Below are 20,431 nucleotides of genomic sequence, written 5' to 3' on the forward strand. Positions count from 1 at the left end.
TTTGATTTTTCACTTTGCTAGTATAGACATAATCAGCATGAAGCATATATAGCTTTCTGAATGTGCTGAAGACTTGAATTATTTTGCAGGCGACTAAGATGTAGGGCTTACAATAAGCAATATGGAATTGTAAATTACCTAATGAATTTGGGGGACAAAAGACTAGTTTGTACATATAATACTTTGACTTTTCTAGGTAATCTTTAATTCTTATTTTCTCTTAACCCTGTTTAAAAATTCTCAGAAAACACTTGTCTATTTAAGCAGGCAGAAGATAAAAGAAATTATCTTTGGAAATACAGAACTTGGAATCTCATACGGGGAACTTTTACAGTATCAATGCAGAATACTGAAATGTAAACTGATAGTACTAGAAAGTATTATTATTATGTTATAACATAACCTCATAGCATATACATATTAGGAAACTGAGGTGCATTAAAGTTAAGTGACATGGCCAAGGTTAAGAAGTTAATTGATAGTGGGGACAAAAATATTATTCGGCTCTCTGAATGATTTGAATTATGATGCAATACTTCTTTCTATACCTCAGTTACATAAAATAATAGTAAATCAAAATAAAATTCAAAACAAAACAAATGGAGTGAAATATGTTAGAAGAAGTAATGTTAGGAGTAATCACATTTTATTACAAGAAAATGAAAGCCACAAGAGTTTCCATTAGGGTCACTTTTGTTATATTGTTTTGAATGCAATGATTAATTCTTAGTGTCTCTTCTGCACCAGGAAATATGTAGAAAATTCCTCTGTTTTGACACACAATTTCTTTTATTTTTTACCTAACAACGTGAAATTTCTTGTGGAAGTGTCTTTTCCTTCTGGTGAAAGACTAATTTGCTGTATTAACAGAGTATAACAGTTTGGTTTGCTAGCTTGATGTTCTTTGTAATTAAGAAAAATTGATAAGGAGGACTCAATGTCAATACCTGCTTGAAACCATAATCATATTTCTTTTCTTGCAATATTTGATTAGATCTAATAACTGTGTCAAACATTTTATTGAACTGTGGCATGACAAGATCTCTTTTTTATTATTGGCTGTTAACATTCTTGTCATATTTAATGTTTCACCTGGGAAATGGCTTTTATTCAGAGTTCACTCTTATGTGTGTCTACCTTTCAACCTTGATGCAAAACAAATGACTTCTTATCTCAGCCATAAAGGAATCTTCAAAAAATATGAGGGAATTTTGTATGCTCAGTAAGGGTCTCTCCTGAAGTAGACATTAACTGTGCAGTTTGTTCTATCAAGTTTAATAGTTTTAAAAATTATTTTAATAACACATGACATTTTGCCAAAATGATCAGGATTCCTCTTTAAGACTATTTTGGTACTACTCAAAGTATGACAATTTATGTAACTGAAGCATCTTTATTTATAGTTTAAGTTCTGGGCTTCAAGAAAACATTTTGGAAAGATTCTTGTCTACAAAGCTACAAACATCCAGGAGGAAGCCCCTGCTCAGTAAGAAGTACTATACAGATCCATATCATCTGTATCTCTATCTGTATTTATCTTTTATTCTTCACAGAATGCCTCAAAACTTTAAATAAACATATTTGGCTTCTCCTATGTTTAACTAAAAATGTTGTATTTTTCTAAAGATTCCTGATATCATATATTTACATAGGTAGCTATAAGATTTCCATGGTAATAATGTACCAACTCTATTTATTTGGGGAAAAGAAGTTTCTGAAACATATATGGGAAATATCAACATCTATTAAATCTAAATACAAATACATAGTGTTTAATTATGTTCTGTTTATTGGGAAAATGAGAGACAACAATAATATTTTAATTTAAATTTCTTCCTAATGAATGTTTCTAGATCCACCTTAATTTTCCTCTTTTCTTTGATAAGTACAGTCTGCATCATACCTTTTGCCACCCTTTCCTAATTATTTCTTGTTAAGAATTTCATTCGCTTTCCTAAAAGGCAATGTATTTATACTTCTCTTGTATCCATAATGATTCCTATAATGATTCTATTTAAATTTTATTTTAACGCAACTGAATACAAATCTCAAGCTCAAATATGATATTTGAAAATGCATTTCACCACTTTGGCTTTTTGCTTGAGTCAATGTTCTTATTTTTAATTTATTTTTTATTTGTATAAATTTATGCGGTTCAAGTGGAATTGTATGACATGCATAGATTACATAGTGATCGGGTCAGGGCTTTAGGGTATCCATCGCCCAAATAACTTACATTTCAAGCGATTAAGTAATTTCTCATCATCGACCTCTCTCCCACCCCTGTATCCTTCTAAGTCTTCATTGTCTATCATTCTGTTCTCTATATTCATGTATACCCATTTTTTAGCACCCACTAATGAGTGGGAATATGGGATATTTGACTTCCTTTGTCTGGCTTGTTTCACTTGAGATAATGACCTCCAGTTCTGTCCATGTTCCTGCAAAAGACATGATTTCATTCTTTTTGATGACAAAATAGTATTCCATTGTATTTGTATAAGATATTTTCTTTATCCAATCATTTCACTCTTGTTGCTCAGGCTGGAGTGCAATGGCATGATCTAAGATCACTGCAGCCTCCGCCTCCCAGGTTCAAGCAATTCTTCTGCATCAGCCTCCCAACTAGCTGGGATTACAGGCACCTGCCACAGGTCCAGCTAATTTTTGTATTTTTAGTAGAGACGGGATTTCACCATGTTGGTCAGGCTAGTCTCGAACTCCTGGCCTCTGGTGATCTGCCTGTCTCAGACACCCAAAGTAATTGCCCAATTTTTAATAAGACTATTCAATGTTTTTTTTTGCATATTTTGGATACTTCCATGTAGGATGAACAGTTTGAAATGATCTTCTCCCATTCTGCAGGTGTTGTTCACTCTGTTTTTGTTTGTTTGTTTGTTTTGCTGTGCAGAAGTTTTTAGTTTAATTAAGTTTCATCGACCTATTTTTGTTTTTGTTACTTGTGCTTTTGAAGTCTTTGTCATAAATTCTTAGCCTAGTTCTATGTCCTGGTGAATTTTCCCTAGTTTTTCTTCTTTAGAGTTGTTATACTTTGGGGTCTTACATTTAAGCCTTTAATCTATCTTGAGTAGATATTTGTATATGGTGAGAGATAGGGATCCGGTTTCATTACTCTGCATATAACAATCCAATTTCCCCATCATCATTTATTGAAAAAGGTGTCCTTTCCCCAATGTATGTTCTTTTCAGCTTTGTCAAACATCAGCTGGCTGTAAATATATAGCTTTATTTCTCAGTTCTCTAGTCTTTTCCATTGATCTATGTGTCTATTTTTATACCAGTACCATGCTATTTTGGTTACTAGAGCTTTGTAATATAATTTGAAGTCAGGTAATATTATGCCTCCCGCTTTGTTCTTTTTGCTTAGGATTGCTTTTCCTATTCGGGCTCTTTTTTGGTTCCATATGAATTTTAGAATGGTTTTTTTTTCTAATTCTGTGAAAAATGACGTTGGCATTTTGATAGGCATTGCCTTGAATCTGCAGAGTGCTTTGGACAATATGGTCATTTTAATGACATTGAGCCTTCTAATCCGTGAGTTTGGGATGTTTTTCCACTTGTTTATCTACAATTTCTTTCATCAGTGTTTTGCAGTTCTCCTTGTAGAGACCTTTCAGTTCTTTAGTTAAATTTATTCCCAGATATTTTATTTATTTTCTGTAGCCATTGTAAATGGGATTGGCTTCTGGATTTTTTTCTCAGCTAGCTCGTTGTTGATGTATAAAAATATCACTAATTATTTTTATTTATTTATTTATTCTTATTTTTTGAGATGGAGTCTTGCTCTGTTGCCCAGGCTGGAGTGCAGTGATGCAATCTCGGCTCACTGAAAGCTCTGCCTCTCGGGTTCATGCCATTCTCCTGCCTCAGCCTCCTGAGTAGCTGGGACTACAGGCACCCACCACAGCACCTGGCTAATTTTTTGTATTTTTAGAGAGACGGGGTTTCACCGTGTTACCTAGGATGGTCTCGATCTCCTGACCTTGTAATCCGCCGGCCTCGGCTTCCCAAAGTGCTGGGATTACAGGCGTGAGCCACCGCGCCCAGCCAAAAATGCCACTGATTTTTTATGTTGATTTTGTGGCATGCAATTTTACTAAACTTATTTATCAAATCTAGGAATCCTTTGGTGGAGTCCTTAGGTTTTTCTAGACATAAGATCATGTCATCAGCAAACAGGGATAATTTGACTTCCCCTTTTCCAATCTGGATACCTTTTATTTTGTTCTCTTATCTGGCCCCTCTGGCTAGGACTTCCAGGACTATATTGAATAGGAAAGGTGAAAGCGAACATCCTTGTCTTGTAATGCTGTACATTTCCTTGAATCGTAAATTACCTATCATACTTGATACTAGCATTTTTCCTTTTCATAATTGCCATCACCTATAATTTACTTTAGCTCATAAATGTACACATATGTGGGTCTGTCAATTGGTAAGGGATTGATAGGTCCATAGATATTTATCTTAATTTCCTTTCCATACCTTTACAGAATGTTCTCTTAAGGACAATTCAATGTCCTCACTCCAATTGATTGTCTTTCATTGCCAATTCTGATTTGCTTTCAGCTGGCTGAATTTTCCCATGGATCTGTGAAATAATCTTCAACAATAAAATCTGTGTACAATGAAGTGCCTGGCATTACTCTAGGTGCTGGAATTATAACTGAGATGAAAACACATCCCTGACCTTGAGAAGCTTACAGTCCTTTACATTTATTTTTTATTATTTAACAATTTTACTAACACCACTATTGCAAAATTTTCTTTAAAAATATACATTTCAGTTTGAGTTTTATTTTGTTTTTAATTGACATATAATGACTGTACACATTTATGGGGTATAGTGTGATTTTTCAGTAAATGTATACAATGTGTAATAATGAAACCAGGGTAACTAGCACATCTATCACCTCAAACACTTGTCATTTCTTTGTGATGAGAGCATTCAAAAGCCTCTCTTCTAACTGTTTTGAACCATAATACATTACTGTTAATTATAGTCACCCTACTGTGCAATAGCCCTCCAGAGGTATTGCTCCTATCTAACTGGAACTTTGTACCTGTTGAAGAACCTCTCCCCATCCCTGTCTTTTCCCTACTCTTCCCAGCCTCTTTACATTTATATTCATAACAAGGGCATCTGATGTTTTCCACTCTCCACTTTTATTCCCAATTGCAGATTTTTCCTATAGGTAATTTACATTGTGTCCTGCCCTGTTAGTTGACCAGAAAATAGTCAGAGATTACGAGAGTCCTGAGTGATTTGGGGGTGTATTCTCATTCTTGGAAAGGATGACCTTAGCACAGGCATATTTATGATTCTAGTTCTACCATGGCACGGAGTTTATCGTTCAAGATCTGAAAGTATCAGCAGATTGTATCCTATGCAAGCAAGGGGAAGCCTACCCAACAATTATCCATGTATACGTATGTTGAGATTATTCCTCTGGTCCAGATACTGATCCTTGGTGTTCTCCCATAGGAAGCCCTTCCCAGCATTCTGTTTCTTGGTTTCTGACTCAAACACTACTTCAGCTTCAGATCTACTCTCAAATTAGCATTGGAAGTGGTTAGGGTTTCCAGTCTCCAAGGATAAAAGCCTTGTGTCCTAGTCTCCGTTCCTTACATTCTTCTCTAAATCCAGTTTTGGCCAAACATGTGTTCCAGTGAAATTTTGGTATCAAGAATAAGCTTTTAAGAAATAGACTAAAAAAATAGACTCTACATATATCAATGTTAAGTTGTAAGAAGCTGTGTAACATTGTCATGGGTTAAATAAATCACTACAATAAAAGTATTTTTTCAATTTTAGGAGGAATTAGTTTCTTAAAGGGATTTTCTTAGTCAAGTCATTTTTCAGGCTTCACTGGGAGTCCTGTGAGAGAGTTTTGCTCATATAGGCCTTTTGATATTTTTCAAAGATTTACCAAAAACACAGCATATAACTTACAGGTAATGTAAGTAATGCCTCTAGGCCTGGTATTGAGCACCAATTGTGTGCCAAAGAACTTTGGTAGGGACTGGGAAAGTAGTTCTTGCACTCAGCATACATATGTTCAAGTTTACTCACTATTTATTAGTTGTGAGATACTGGGCAAATTACCTAACCTATATGAACCTCTTCTGTTTGAAAAAAAAAACACAGGAAAATAATAATCCCAATACCTGCTCTGTTAAACTCATAGGTTGTTTTTGTCCGTTTGTTTGTTTTTCTTTTTTCTTTTTCTTTTTGTTTTGAGGCAGGGTCTTCCTCTGTTGTTCAAGTTGGAGTGCAGTGGCATGAAATACCTCACTGCAGCCTTGACCTCCCGGGCTCAAGCCATCCTCCTATCTCAGCCTGCCAAGTAATTTGGACTACAGGCACACGCCACCACAGTCTAGTCTCAAACTCCTGAGCTCAAGCGATCCACCTGTCTTGGCCTCCCAAAGTGTTGGGGTAAAGGCGTGAGCCACTGGGCTGGGCCTCATGGGTTGTTTTGTGAAATCATGAGCTAATGTATGTGAAAGTACTTTGTAACTATAATGTGCTACATTGTTGTTATTTATATTTTCTTTCAAAATTGCAGTAAAACACTGAAAGAGTTAAAAAAATACCACCCCAAAATATGATGCTTTGATATGCTGATTACTTTGAACCGAGAACACTTGGGCAACAGCAGATGTAGGCAGAGGCTTTCCCTGAGCTCCCCTTTTCTCCCTAAAGATGACTCTTCCAAAAAGAACTCAATTGTCATGAATCTCTTTCCCAGGAATCTTATCAACCAGGGAAGGTTAACTAGGATCACAAGAGAGGACTGAAGGTTGACAACACGCTCAAACAGACTATCCCTATTCTTCTGAGGGCTTCTCCAAGACAATTTTTATTATCGAAGATATTTTTTATCTGCTCAAAAAGACAATCTTTATTCACCATACATTTCCTTCCCTTCCTCTTCCATACTTTGTGTTGCTACCACCCATTGAACCCCCAAGCCCCTATTTCTTTTTGTAGCTCATGATGCTATATAAGCTTCAATCATCTGACTCTTCTTTGAGTCTCATATTTTGTGGGATTCTCATGCAAACATATGTAATTAAGTATGGGTTTTTTCCTGTTAATCTATCTAATGTCAATTTAATTTGTAGCCCAGCCATGGAACCTAGAAGGGTTCCATGGAGGCAAGCCATTTTTCACTCCCCTACTTCACCTTCTCAGAAAATGCTAAAAAAATTCCCTAAGAGAGAAAATGAAAAACTTAACTGCTTTAAGTTGAAACAGAGTAGGTATTAAAGAGCTCCTCCTGTTTATAGCTGCCTATTTGTAAAATACAGCTTGGACATCACTGTTGAAAAATATTTCTTACCATTATTGTATATAAATTATATTCCTGTCTTAACTAATTAAGTAAGTGCCTTAAGAATTGAATAGATTAAGCCCCAAGAAAGATTTAACGGCCGGGCGCGGTGACTCACGCCTGTAATCCTAGCACTTTGGGAGGCCGAGGCCGGCGGATCACGAGGTCAGGAGATTGAGACCATCCTGGCTAACACGGTGAAACCCCGTCTCTACTAAAAATACAAAATATTAGCCGGGCGTGGTGGCGGGTGCCTGTAGTCCCAGCTACTCCAGAGGCTGAGGCAGGAGAATGGCGTGAACCCAGGAGGTGGAGCTTGCAGTGAGCCGAGATCGCGCCACTGCTCTCCAGCCTGGGCGACAGAGTGAGACTGTCACCAAAAAAAAAAAAAAAAAAAAAAAAGATTTTCCAACTTGTGGAGATAAAGTGAGCAGAAATGCTAAAATTATTAGAAATGTAGAAATTGAGGTTGTATTACAAGAAGGTTTGCAACATAGACTAAATAAATTTAAACAATATTTGTGTACCAAATGTCTCAGGATTTATGCAGAATACATGCTTATCCTGGTTTCTATCATAGGAAATGACAAGATTTTAGTACCTCTCCCCCCTTGTCCAAGGGATGACAACATTTATTGCACAGTTGGTCTCTGAGAGTTATCAATGACACAGGAAGGTGACTAGATAAACATCAAACACAGTTGATGAAGACAACTTTAATTACCTCACTAGGGGTTTTGAACTAGTTAATTATGGGCTTTTTTTTCCTAAGTAAACTTTACATATTAAGATGCCTGGTTGATCTCAAAGGAATTTAAAAATAACTTGTAAGAAAAGCACAAACTGTGGTAACTTGGAAATGTAAATCAAATTGCAAAAACAGATAGATTTCGTAAATCTGAGAGTATTTTTGGATTCTTTTGTTTCTTCTTATTATAAATAGCCTGCCATTTGTATCCAAGGGCATTTTTTTTCATCCTTATGTGGGCGGCATAATTACACAGAATACTTGAAGTTTAAAAATCTTTATGTAAGTGTGAGATTATAATCAGAACTTGATGTCGCCTATAGTCAGGGTCTGATTAATATACTTATATTAAATGTCAAAAATAGGATTTAATGTTCTCTTTCTAAAAATAGAAGCTAATAAAATGAAATAATTAAGCTTATAATTAAGAACACAGATACTCCTCGTCTTTGTCTTCTTAGTGGGTAACTAATTCAGGCGACACTTAGAAGTCTTGAAAAATAAGTTTTGAAGGTTGTGCACACTCTCTCACTGGGGTCATAAAATAAATGAGTACTGTCTACAAATAATATTTACCAAGAGACAATGTCCTTCTTTAACTCCCACCCCCCCGCCAGAATTGTCTTTAATACTCATTAGTTTTCACACGCTCTGTGCTGTCTCTACTTCTAAAATACATTCCTCTCTTTGGAGAGATACCTTATTTTTCATCTCCCATCTTAAATTTTCTTTAAGTCTCTAATCAAGCAAGTCATTGATATTTATTTCATATACGTTTTATTACTTGTTACTATGTCGGGCACCATAAAAATACACAAAATTATAGAACGTTTTACCCTTAAAATTTCTTTGAAGAAAGGAATCCCATCTTGCACTTGTCTGAACTAGTGTTTAGTTAATATGTATTGGTTTGACTTGAGATGAAAACGAGATGTAAGACTATATCAATGCCAAATATGATGCTGAAGTTTATAGTGATAGCTTCTCTATTACAAATTGTGTTTGCAATATTATATTTGTGTATTATTTTTTCTATTTCACTTTTTCACCATTGAGTTCATTGTTAGCTATGGACTTGTGAAATATGGCCTTTATTATGTTCAGGCACATTCTTTTTTTTACCTGTTTGTTGAATGTTTTGTCATGGAAGAGTGTTAAATTTTATCAAATTTATTGTGTACATCTATTGAGATGATCATATGTCTTTTATCCTTCATTCTGTTAAAGTGGTATATCACATTTATTGATTTGCATATGTTGAGCCATCCTTGTATCCTATAAAGACAGACTTATTGGCCATGGAACATAATAGAAAGCCCAGAAATAAATCTACACATATAGAGTCAACTGATCTTCAGAAAAGATGCCAAGAATACACAATAGGGAAACGACTGTTTCTTCAACAAATTGGGCTGGGAATACTAGATAGCCACATCCAAAAGAATGTAATTGGATCCCTATCTGACACCAGACACAAAAATCAACTCCAAATGGGGGTAAAGACTGAAATGTAACATCTGAGTCTTTGAAACTCTTAGAAAAAAATTTAGGGGGAAATCTTGACAATGGTCTTGGAAATTATTTCTTTGATCTGACACCAAAAGCACAGGCAACTAAAGCAAAAATAGACCAGGGACTTATTATCAAACTCAAAAGCATCTGCTATGCAAAGGAAACAATTAACAGAGTGAAATTTATCTGATAAAGGGTTAATATACAAAATATATAAGACAGTCCTGTAACTCAGTAGCAAATACACACACACACACACACACACACACACACACACAGAGGGAGAGAGAGAGAGAGAGAGATTTTAAGAATAGGCAAAAGTCCTGAACATACATTTCCCCAAAGAAAACACACACAAATGGTCACCAGATATATGAAAAAATGCTCAGCATCGCTAATCATCAGAGAAATGCAAATCAAAATCACAATGAGATATCACCTCACACCTATCAGGATGGCCGTTTTATATATATACACACACACACATATACATATATGCATATATATAATTTATATCTGTATATATAAATATAAATATAAAAACAAGTGTTGAGAATGTAGAGATATTAGAACTATTGTATACTGTTGGTGCAAATGTAAGTAGATGCAGTCACTATGGAAAACAGTGTGGAGTCTCTTCAAAAAATAAAAACAGGGTTAGTATACAATCCAGCGATCCCACTTATGGGTATATATTAAAAATTGAAATCAGTATCTCAGAGAAATATCTGCATTCTCATGTTCATTGCAGCATGATTTACAATAGCCAAGATGTTGAAAGAATCCAATTGTTCATCAATGGATGAATGGAAAAAGAAAATATGTTGTCTAATACAATTTAGTATTGATCAATATTTAAAAAATAGAAATCATTCTATTTGCAACAGCATGGATGAACCTGGAGGACATTATGCTGAGTGAAATAAGCCAGTCACAGAAGGACAGATACTGAATGATTCCACTTGTATGAGGTATCTAAAATAGTCAAATTTAAAGAAGTACAGAATAGAATGTTGGTTGTCAGGGGTTTGGGAAAGGAGTACGTGCTAATTTTTGCTCAATATGTATGAATTTTCAATTATGCAAGAAGAATCATTTCTAGAGATTCACTATAAAAGGCAGTGCCAATAGTTAACAATGCAGTATTGTGCACTAAAAAATTTAAGAGGGGCTGTGGGTGGTGGCTCACACCTGTAATCCGGCACTTTGGGAGGCTTGGGCAGGAGGATTGCTTGAGCCCTGGAATGCAAGACCAAGCTGGGCAACATAGTGATACCCTGGCTCTACAAAAAACTTTAAAAAATTAGCTGGGTGTGGTGGCATGCTCCTGTAGCCCAGGAATTTGAGGTTGCGGTGGGTTGTGATTCACCACTGCACTCCAGCCTGGGCAACAGAGTTAGATCCTGTCTCAAAAAAAAAAAAAAAAAAAAAAATGAGAGAGGACATCTCTTGGTAAGTGTTCCTACCACAAAAGTAAACAAAAAACACAAAAGAATGTCAGAAAACTTTTGGAGATAATGGATATATTTATCATCTTGATTGTGATGATGATATCTTGGATAAATGAAGATGTCCAAACTCATCAAATTGTATACATCAAACATACAATTTTTTGTATACAATTATACCTCAATAAATCTGATTTTTAAAAAAGAAATGATAGCAATAATCACACACACATTCACACAAACAAGCAACATGCAGAAGACGACAGAACTAATAAAAGGAAGTGGTTGGTCTGACTGATTCTATGAATCTGTGGGTTGGTATATTTAATTATTTCTAGACTTCTTAGCCATCATCCCTTGAAATACTGCTTCAGACCCATTTTTTCCTTTTTTAAAAATTCAGTTATGTATGCATTAGGACTTTTTACTATATTTTCCATGTCTCTTACTCTGTTTTATAGTTCCATCTTTTTTTTTTTGCTATACTATATTGTGATTAATTTCTTCTGAACTAGTTCCTAGTTCACTACTTCTCTATATTTTCAGTTTGCTGCCATCTATGTCCAACATGTTTTTAATATTGGTTGTTCTTTTATTTCTAGAAGTCCTTTTTTTTAAAGACAGTTGTCATTTGTTTTAGCGTTTCCGTTACCTGTAGATAATTTCAGTCTTGCCATCTATTTCTTTAAACAGGATAAGATGGATTGTTTTAGAATGTCTGACAATACCAACATTTGAAGTTTGGATGAGTCTGTTCCTAATATGTCTATTTTTGTGTTTATTCTTGCTCATGGTGCCTTGGGTAAATGGTTTAAGTGTACTAATAATTGCCATTGGGAAGATGTTTGTGGAGATTCACTAAAGCACGAGATGAAAGTCCTGTCTCAGGGAAGATTTACACTTTCCAGAAATCTGGGAGCACTACAAGTTAGAAACCTCCTTAAAGCAAGTTCAAGGCTTGTGCTTCATTGGCCCACTGAGTTGTATCTTGGCAGCATGTTCTTCTGTAGTGCACTCTACTGGGAGTTCATCAAGAAAAGGCTTTGTTTGTTTTCATTTCCTTGGGTTATGCATAGTTTTTCAGAGCCAAGTCAAATGGCCCTACCTGCAATGCACCACGGTTTTGGTAGTTGTGGGGGATACCAGTTCTGGCTCACTTTTCTTCTGATAGTGTTAATTTTTGAGATTCACTTAATGTGGTGGTGACATCTTCTCTATGATTGCTCACCTAGAGTGGCTTAATGAGGCCAGAGACCAAAGCCCAAGTTTGTCAGATTGGTAGATTGGTACACGCAGGGCCAAAACAGTTTAGGTATATGATGTATCCCTTGCTGCTCTGGGTGTAGATTTTATCTATCCTTATTTGGGTAGGCAGTATTCTGTTATCTCTTCAGCTCTTCTATGCTTTAATGTTAATGAAAAATATGTATTTATCTAGTATTTTAGTCATTTTCACCTAACCTAGCTCTTCATACCAGAAAAGCAACTGTCCTAACTTCAAAGCTGGGACTCATAACTGATTTGCCTTCCTGTTATGACAAACATTCTATTATTATTATTATTATTTATTTATTTATTTTTATTTTTATTTTTTTTGAGACGGAGTCCTCCTCTGTCGCCCAGGCTGGAGTGCAGTGGCGTGATCTCGGCTCACTGCAAGCTCCGCCTCCCGGGTTCAAGCCATTCTGCTGCCTCAGCCTCTCCGAGTAGCTGGGACTACAGGCTCCCGCCACCAAGGCCGGCTAATTTTTTGTATGTTTAGTAGAGACGGGGTTTCACCGTGTTAGCCAGGATGGTCTGGATCTCCTGACCTCGTGATCCGCCCACCTAGGCTTCCCAAAGTGCTGGGATTACAGGCGTGAGCCATCGCGCCCGGCCTCTATTATTTTTCTTTAACATTGTCCCCCACCTGACAATTGCTAGACGTATTTTTACTGATAAATCCACGTTCTTCTTGCAGGGGTCAAAAAAGACAAAAATCAACAAGAAGTTAGCATGAATAAATGCTTTCTCAAGCAATCCTACTTAAAACTTGATGTTCAAACTCTTTACAAGTTGTACAGAAACAGGGTTTCACACTTGAAAATTTAAGACTGCAATGTGTTCTAACTTTTCAGGACCTTGCATTCATTTTCAATCACAAGATGCAGGAATTTATTAGAGTTTGATGTGCAACTGATGACGTGCTTAATATGTTATATGAGTATTGTGTCCTCTAATGCTCCCTGGACCAACATAAAAACAAAAAGTTGCATCTCATTGGAGCTGTTGAAACACAAAAATTTTAATAAATAAGAATTACAGTGTAATAAAATTTATCATTATATGAGGAACTGGGATAGCAGTAAATGTCTTTGGAAACTCATATTATTCTTTTGCTCTTCCTGTTTCTATTCCATTCTAACATTGTAATGAATTCTTTAGGCATTTCTTAGGGGGATTTTAAAATCTAAACTACTCCCAAATCTCCTTTTTTTTTTTTCTAAAACTATTCCAGGACTAAATTTTAAGATTATCTTTCTCTTTCAAAAACAGAATACCTACCCGTTCTACTTAGGTTTTCCTTGTACAGACATTTATAAATGCTGTTCTGATTCTGACCTTTCTTCCTTCTCTATTTACTCTATGTAGCAGATGCTGCTAGTGTCCTGCCCGTAGCCATTGGCACTTAGGTAACACCAATATGCATGGAAATGGTATTTCTAATGCTAGAATCTGTGATTCTGTCTGAGGATGATCTCTGGCTCCATCAGTCAGGCTGGAAGTGCCAAGGCATTTCTACCACCCTGGAGTAGCACTTAACCAATGACTACTGGGTATTGGTGAATAAGTACTCCTGCTCCCTCACTACTTTTTAGCCTGAATAACTGAAATTGGTGTTCTACATGGGCACCCAGATTTCACTGATGGAACTATTTTCTTTTTTGGCTTCCATAGCCTCCTTTTCCTGCTTTTATACTCTTTACCTGAGGTTTTTTGGTGTCACTTCCAAATAAACTACCTGTGTCTAAATCCTTGGAATAAAGTCTGCCTCTGGGAGATTCTAAACAAAGACCTACCCATTGTCCTTCCTTCAAATCACATTAACATTTTGGTAAAGGTACTGATTACAGACATGCATGATTTAGTGCTGCTGAGTTTATCTTTAGCTTTACTGAATCATTACAGAACTCACAAATATTCGAATTTACATCTCTTTAAAGAAAGTCTAATAAAAAATAAGCTCACTATCTGCTTGTCTAATTTATTTAAAATTGTAGATTAGAGTAGGAGTAGCAGCTGCTAGTAAAAAGATGGTAACAAATAATGTTTATTGCATTCTTAGAAAATATATGTTTCATATGTACTAACTCCTCACAACATCTGTCCTAAATTGGAGCTATTTTTGTTACCAGCAAGTTCAAGGAAAAAGCAAAGACAGAATGAAAGGTTAAATAACTTGCCTTAGGTTAGAGTCTGCAAGTGTTAGAGATGGGCTTACAACCCAGTTGATCTGTCTGAGAGGCTGCAGTCCCAAACATCATGCTCTGAATGATTAAAGTAGTTTTATTTCCAGGCGGAAGCTGAAGGTAAACCATACATGATTCTACCAATGTTCTTAAAATATACGGATAAATACTAGTGAGTCTGAGAACACATCATTGGTTTCATAGGCAATCTGCGTGAGAAATAAACAATGTAAACGATGAATCAAATCTTTCTCTTATTTGTTTGCAAAGCCATAAAGTCCTGGGAAACTGAAGTTAGGAGTCTCAGGCTCTAGATGTAAGATTAATAGTCTCTTTTTTGAGATTAAGATTTTACCTCGGAAATGTTCTCTCCAAGTCTCTGCTTTGATTTGATTAATCTGTATAACCAGGATTATTTAATTATCTTCTAAAAATTGCATATGCAACTTTTGGCCTCTCCTTCTTATCCAAAATTGAAATGATCCTGAAGCATTCATGACTGCCTTCAGTTTAATAGCATCAATTATATAACTGTATTCATCTTTTGGAGCTTATGGATGTTGTATTACTCTTTAGAAATATATTAGCTCTAAGATCACAGATTTTTAAAGCAAATATGTGCATTAAATTTTATCTGTTAAGCTTTGTATGTATATATGACTCTTCTATATGATATAGCATCATTTATGAGAAAATTATCTTTAAACTTGATGAATTCACTAAATATAATCTACTAGCTGTTACACAGGTAAGCTCCAAAATTAAGAGATGACTTATCAGAATAGAAAAGAAGTTACTATTTTAGATGATGTACAAAACCACAAAGAACAGAAAGTAACATTTAAATGGAACTTAGAATACATGAATTTTTGCCTGGTCAAGAAATACTGCAAAGGAGTGAAAGGTCATATTTTGATATGGTCTTGAGGGTCAGTGCAAGAACTTTTTTCTTTCAGCAAGTTGGGGATCCACTGGAAAAATATGAGCAAAAGTATGAGATCAGTTCACTTGCTTTTTAGTAGAATGTCTGTGGGCCTTAGGTTGGTAGTAGATTTACAAAGGACCAAGGGCAGAGGCAGAAGATGAGTTGGAAGACTACAGTAATCCACATGAGAGAGGAGGTGCTTTAGATCAGGGTAGCAGCAGCAGAGTGAAGGGAGTATGTAGATTTCTGGACATATTTTGTAATTAAATCTCACAGGACTTGCTGACAGTGGATATGGGGTTTGAGGGAAATAGGAGTCAAGGATGACATGGAGGTTTGGGGCCTGAGCAAACTGGGAAGGTGAAGCTGCCCAAAACTAGAGATGAGAATAGAAATAAGAGAAGAGATATGAAGGTTCTAGAGAAAAGTTGATTTGGGGTTTGATAGAGGTGCTCTGTTTCTTTTTTGGCTATGTTGAATTTGAGATGCTATGTATAGAGTACTGAGAAAATCTGGAAAACTATTCTTAAAAACACCCATGAACTGACTCTTGCAGACTGTAGGATGCTGATGACAGTGTTTTCCTAAAATTCAAATTCTTGTCTCTTGTGTCAAAGATGTTTGAATGGGAAGTCCTTAGCTGTCCTGTAGACTATTTTATGAGATTTTTAAAAAATGAAGATGAGTCAATTAAATGTGAAAAATTCCTCGGTCTCTCTATATATAATGTAATCCATTTTCCATAGGCTTCTCTGACAACAACAGCAACAACTGTATAGTTATCCTTATTTGAATTCCCTTGGCTGACATTTATTCTACATCCATCACTTGATCTAAAATCAATACTCATGTCTCTAGTCACCTGCTCAGAGATGTTATTCATTAATTTTTAACAGGTAAAATCTAACTTGTTCTCATTACAAATGGATAAGTATAAGCTTACACTGCTGGGGGTTTTTTCTTTCTTTTCTCTCGTAGAGAGCCAGGCTGGCATGTTTAAAAAGAAAATGAGCCAAATGAAACTTAAGCTTCACATTTTGGCATGCTTAAAACCCAGCATGTAAATATGGCCCCTGAGAGAAGCAAAGACAAGCTTACAAACAGATGTTTTCACAAGTAAACCATTGATTTTTAACCTTGAAGAGATAATAAAGCAATGTCAGCTTCTCTTTATCAGCAAGAGAGGGAAGTCATCTATCACCCCCAGGGGTTTATGATGCTTATAAATGAATGGTGATGGAAATGTCAGCGTGACACTTTTGATACTGTAAACCCTTAGATCTGTTTGAGGTTGGGATCTTATACTGAGAGACCTAACTAGAAGCTGTGTATTTATAGAGCTCTCCTGCAGCTGCGGATACTAATACATTTTTCTACATATCTTCAAACCCTTTCAGAGTGACATTGGCCAGAGCAGCTCCTCTAGCTTTCAAATTATAGTATCAATTGCAAACTTTTCCAGAAGTACTTAAAATGGTATACATTTTAGGGTAGTTTTTTTTTTTGCAAAAATATTTTATTTAAAAATTATCAGAAAGTACTAATAGACAAACAAAAAAACAATAAAGTGAAAGCATCTTTAATCTCACATCCAGAGGAAGGTATGATCCATTCCTTAGGCATATTCTTCTAGGCTGAGATCTTTGTATGTGTTTGTGTTTTTGCAAAATATTTATTCAGCATATAGTTTTTAAAGTCATTTAAAATTCTATTGTTTTCATCTTTCAGTATAAACAAATATTTTATAAGTTTATTGTTTTGTGGTTGCATAGAATTCCATTGTATGGGTAAAGTATAATTTATTTAACCAGATTTGTTCTTGGACAATTTGATTTATTCTAGTTTTTATCTACTTCAAATAATGTTGTGATGTGCATTCTTGTCAATTATTGTGGGGAGTTATTTTTTCTAAATTCTATTAAAGTATAAATGTAACATACACATAGAAAAGTGCACATTATTATATGTGTACAGCTCAGGGAATTTCTACCACTAAACACAGCTGTATAACTAGTTTACTGTTTTTTTAAAAAAGACACTATCCCAAATCCAGAAGACCTCTTGTACCCTTTCCCAGGGGTTACCCACCCTCCAAAGGAACCACTATCTTTACGTTTGACATCATATGTAGGTCTTGCTAGCTTTTGGACTTTTAAAAATGAAGTGTACTTTGTATTTTCTTTTATGTCTAGCACCTTTCTCTTAACATTATGTCTGCTGTTCATCCATGTTGTTGTGCATAGGTGTATCTATTTATTCTCATTAGTGTATAACAGGCATCAGTGGATATCTTCTTTAAAGAGACAGATATAAGGTATTTCAGGCTTTGCGGGACACATACAGATGTGTGTCATATTCTTCTGTGGGTGTGTGTCTGTGCGTTTTACAGTACTTTAAAAATATAATAGTTATTCTTAGTGTGCAAGTCATAAAAAAAACCAGGCCTCACACTAGAACTGGCTCATAGGTCAGAGTTGCCAACCTCTGCTGAATAGTATTCAATTATATTAATATACCACAGTTTATTTATCTGTTCTACTGTGGATGGACACGTGCTCCCAATTTTTGCTTATAGAGAGCAGTACAACTATAAGAAGTCTTATACCTGCTTTTGGTGAGCTCATATGTCCACTATTTAGGAGGAACCACATAAGAATAGAATTGCTAGTCATAAGCAATATGTGTGTTCTGCTTTAGTGCATATTGCCAATTGCTTTCCAAAGCGATTATACCAAGTCACACGCCTATACTCAGTGCTTGATTGTTGCAATTATTCCACATCATTGCTAACAATTGGGATTATGTGTCATTTTATTTTAAAATTTTATCCAAGCTGATATGTGTGCAGTGGTATCATGTGCCGTCTTACTATTTATTTTCATAATGAGTTAGGAAGTTGGGCCCCCTTTCTTTCTTTTTTTCTTTTCTTTTTTTTCTTTTTTTTTTTTGAGATACAGTCTTGCTCTGTCACCCATGCTGGAGGGCAGTGGAGCAATCTTGGCTTCTCAGCTCACTGCAACCTCTGCCTCCCAGGTTCAGGAGATTCTCCTGCCTTAGCCTCCCAAGTACGTGGGACTACAGGTGCCCGCCACCACATCTGGCTAATTTTGTATGTTTAGTAGAGACAGGGTTTCACCATGTTGGCCAGGCTGGTCTTGAACTTCTGATCTCAGGTGATCTGCCCGCCTCTGCCTCCCAAAGTGCTGGGATTACAGGCTTGAGCCACCGTGCCTGGACCTTGAGCCATTTTTCTTATATTTATTTGTCATTTTAGTTTTCTTTGTTATAAAAGTCCTATAGAAGGTTTTTGACAACTTTGCATTGACTTGTATGACTTTTTCTAAATTGGTAGGAGTCATTTGTACATTCTGGATTTATTGGATCTATGTGTTGCAACTATTTTCTCCTGCTCTGTGGTTTGCCTTTTCTCTTAATGGTGTCTGTGAATAAACAGATTTTTAAAGTTAAAACTGTAATCTTATAATCAATGATTTCATTTGGAGTTAGCACCTTTTGTATCTTCATAATCCTGAAGATATTTGCCTACTTTTTTTCCCAAAAGCTTTGTCAATTTACCATTCACATTTATGTATGATTCACTTGGAAATGTTTTTATACATGGTACAAGGTAGGAATCAAGGTAACTTTTTTGCTTCATATGTTTAGCCAACTGACCTAGACCCAGAACTGTTTAGCAAAAAGACCATCTTCTCCCCCTCTCTACTTTAGTGTCACCTTAGTTATAATTCATGGAACCTCATATATCTGGGTCACTTGTTGGATTCTCTATTCTACTGGTCTATTTGTCAGGATTAATTTTAATTGTCATTTTTAACAAATTCCAAACCCATTAAATAAATAAGTACTTTCATCTTTATTTTGTTAACCTTTAAGATGTTGGGTTAATAGATTTTCTCACCTTATAGCCTGCCATCCTAGAAGTGCTTATATACAGGACAAGACATTTATGGAGTGTTACCAAATTCAAAAAATGTGTAAGTTTCGTTGATTGAATCCTTAATCAATGGGTAGAAACTAGATGATACTGAGATATTAAGAAGATAGAAAAGAAAATAAGAAGGCGGCATAATTATTTTGAGGACAGCATTAGATTCATTTTTCTAGCCAAGTTTAACTCTACTCTTAAATGACCACTCTCTAGCAAAGCCTTCCCTGACTTAGACATTTGCTGTCACATTACCCTGTTTATCTTATTATAATTTGTCACTACTGGTATTTTTGGTTGATTTATTAATTTCTTTTCTGTCTTTCCACTCTAATCTCAAACATAAATGTCCCGAAGCAGAAACCCTATACAACTTCTTCAGTACTTTTCCTGCCAGTGCTTAAAAGGATGCCTTTTTATTGTAGGTGCTCAAAAAACATTTGTTGAGTAAGTGAACCTGAGACTATCAACAAGCATTATTTTAAAATCACTAGCAAAGGTAAGTAAGTAAAATCACCTCTTCTTAGGCTTTCTTTCTTTCCTTCTTTCTTTCTTCTTTCTTTCTTTCTTTCTCCTTCCTTCCTTCCCTTTCTTTCTTCCTTCTTTCTTTTTCTTTCTTTCTTTCTTTGTCTTTCTCTTTCTTTCTTCCTTTCTTTCTCTCTCTCTCTTTCTTTCCTTTCTTCCTTCCTTCCTTCCTTCCTTCCTTCCTTCCTTCCTTCCTTCCTTCCTTTCTTTCTTTCTTTCTTTCTTTCTTTCTTTCTTTCTTTCTTTCTTTCTTTCTTTCTTTCTTTCCTTCTTTCTTTTAGACAGAGTCTCACTCTGTCACCCAGGCAGGCTGAAGTGCAGTGGCATGATCTTGGCTCACTGCACCTTCTGGCTCCCAGGCTCAAGTGATTCTGTCTTGGCCTCCCAAGTAGTGGGGACTACAGGTGCTCGCCACCATGCCCAGCTAATTTTTATATTTTTAGTAGAGTTGGGGTTTCACTATGTTGGCCAGGCTGGTCTTGAACTCCTAGCCTGAAGTGATCTGCCCGTCTCGGCCTCC

At 35.8% G+C, this 20,431-nt stretch overlaps 1 long non-coding RNA gene across 1 annotated transcript in view; it reads left to right on the forward strand.

Moving 5' to 3' along the window:
• Positions 1 to 20,431, forward strand: part of LINC01036 (long intergenic non-protein coding RNA 1036) — a 267,403-nt gene that overhangs the window by 190,813 nt on the left and 56,159 nt on the right. Inside the window, exon 2 of the long non-coding RNA NR_126347.1 lies at positions 19,812 to 19,885. This is a non-coding gene — a long non-coding RNA (long intergenic non-protein coding RNA 1036). The remainder of the gene's footprint in view (positions 1 to 19,811; positions 19,886 to 20,431) is intronic.

Source organism: Homo sapiens, chromosome 1 (genome assembly GCF_000001405.40).
Source record: "Homo sapiens chromosome 1, GRCh38.p14 Primary Assembly".
NCBI classification, from domain to species: Eukaryota; Metazoa; Chordata; class Mammalia; order Primates; family Hominidae; genus Homo; species Homo sapiens.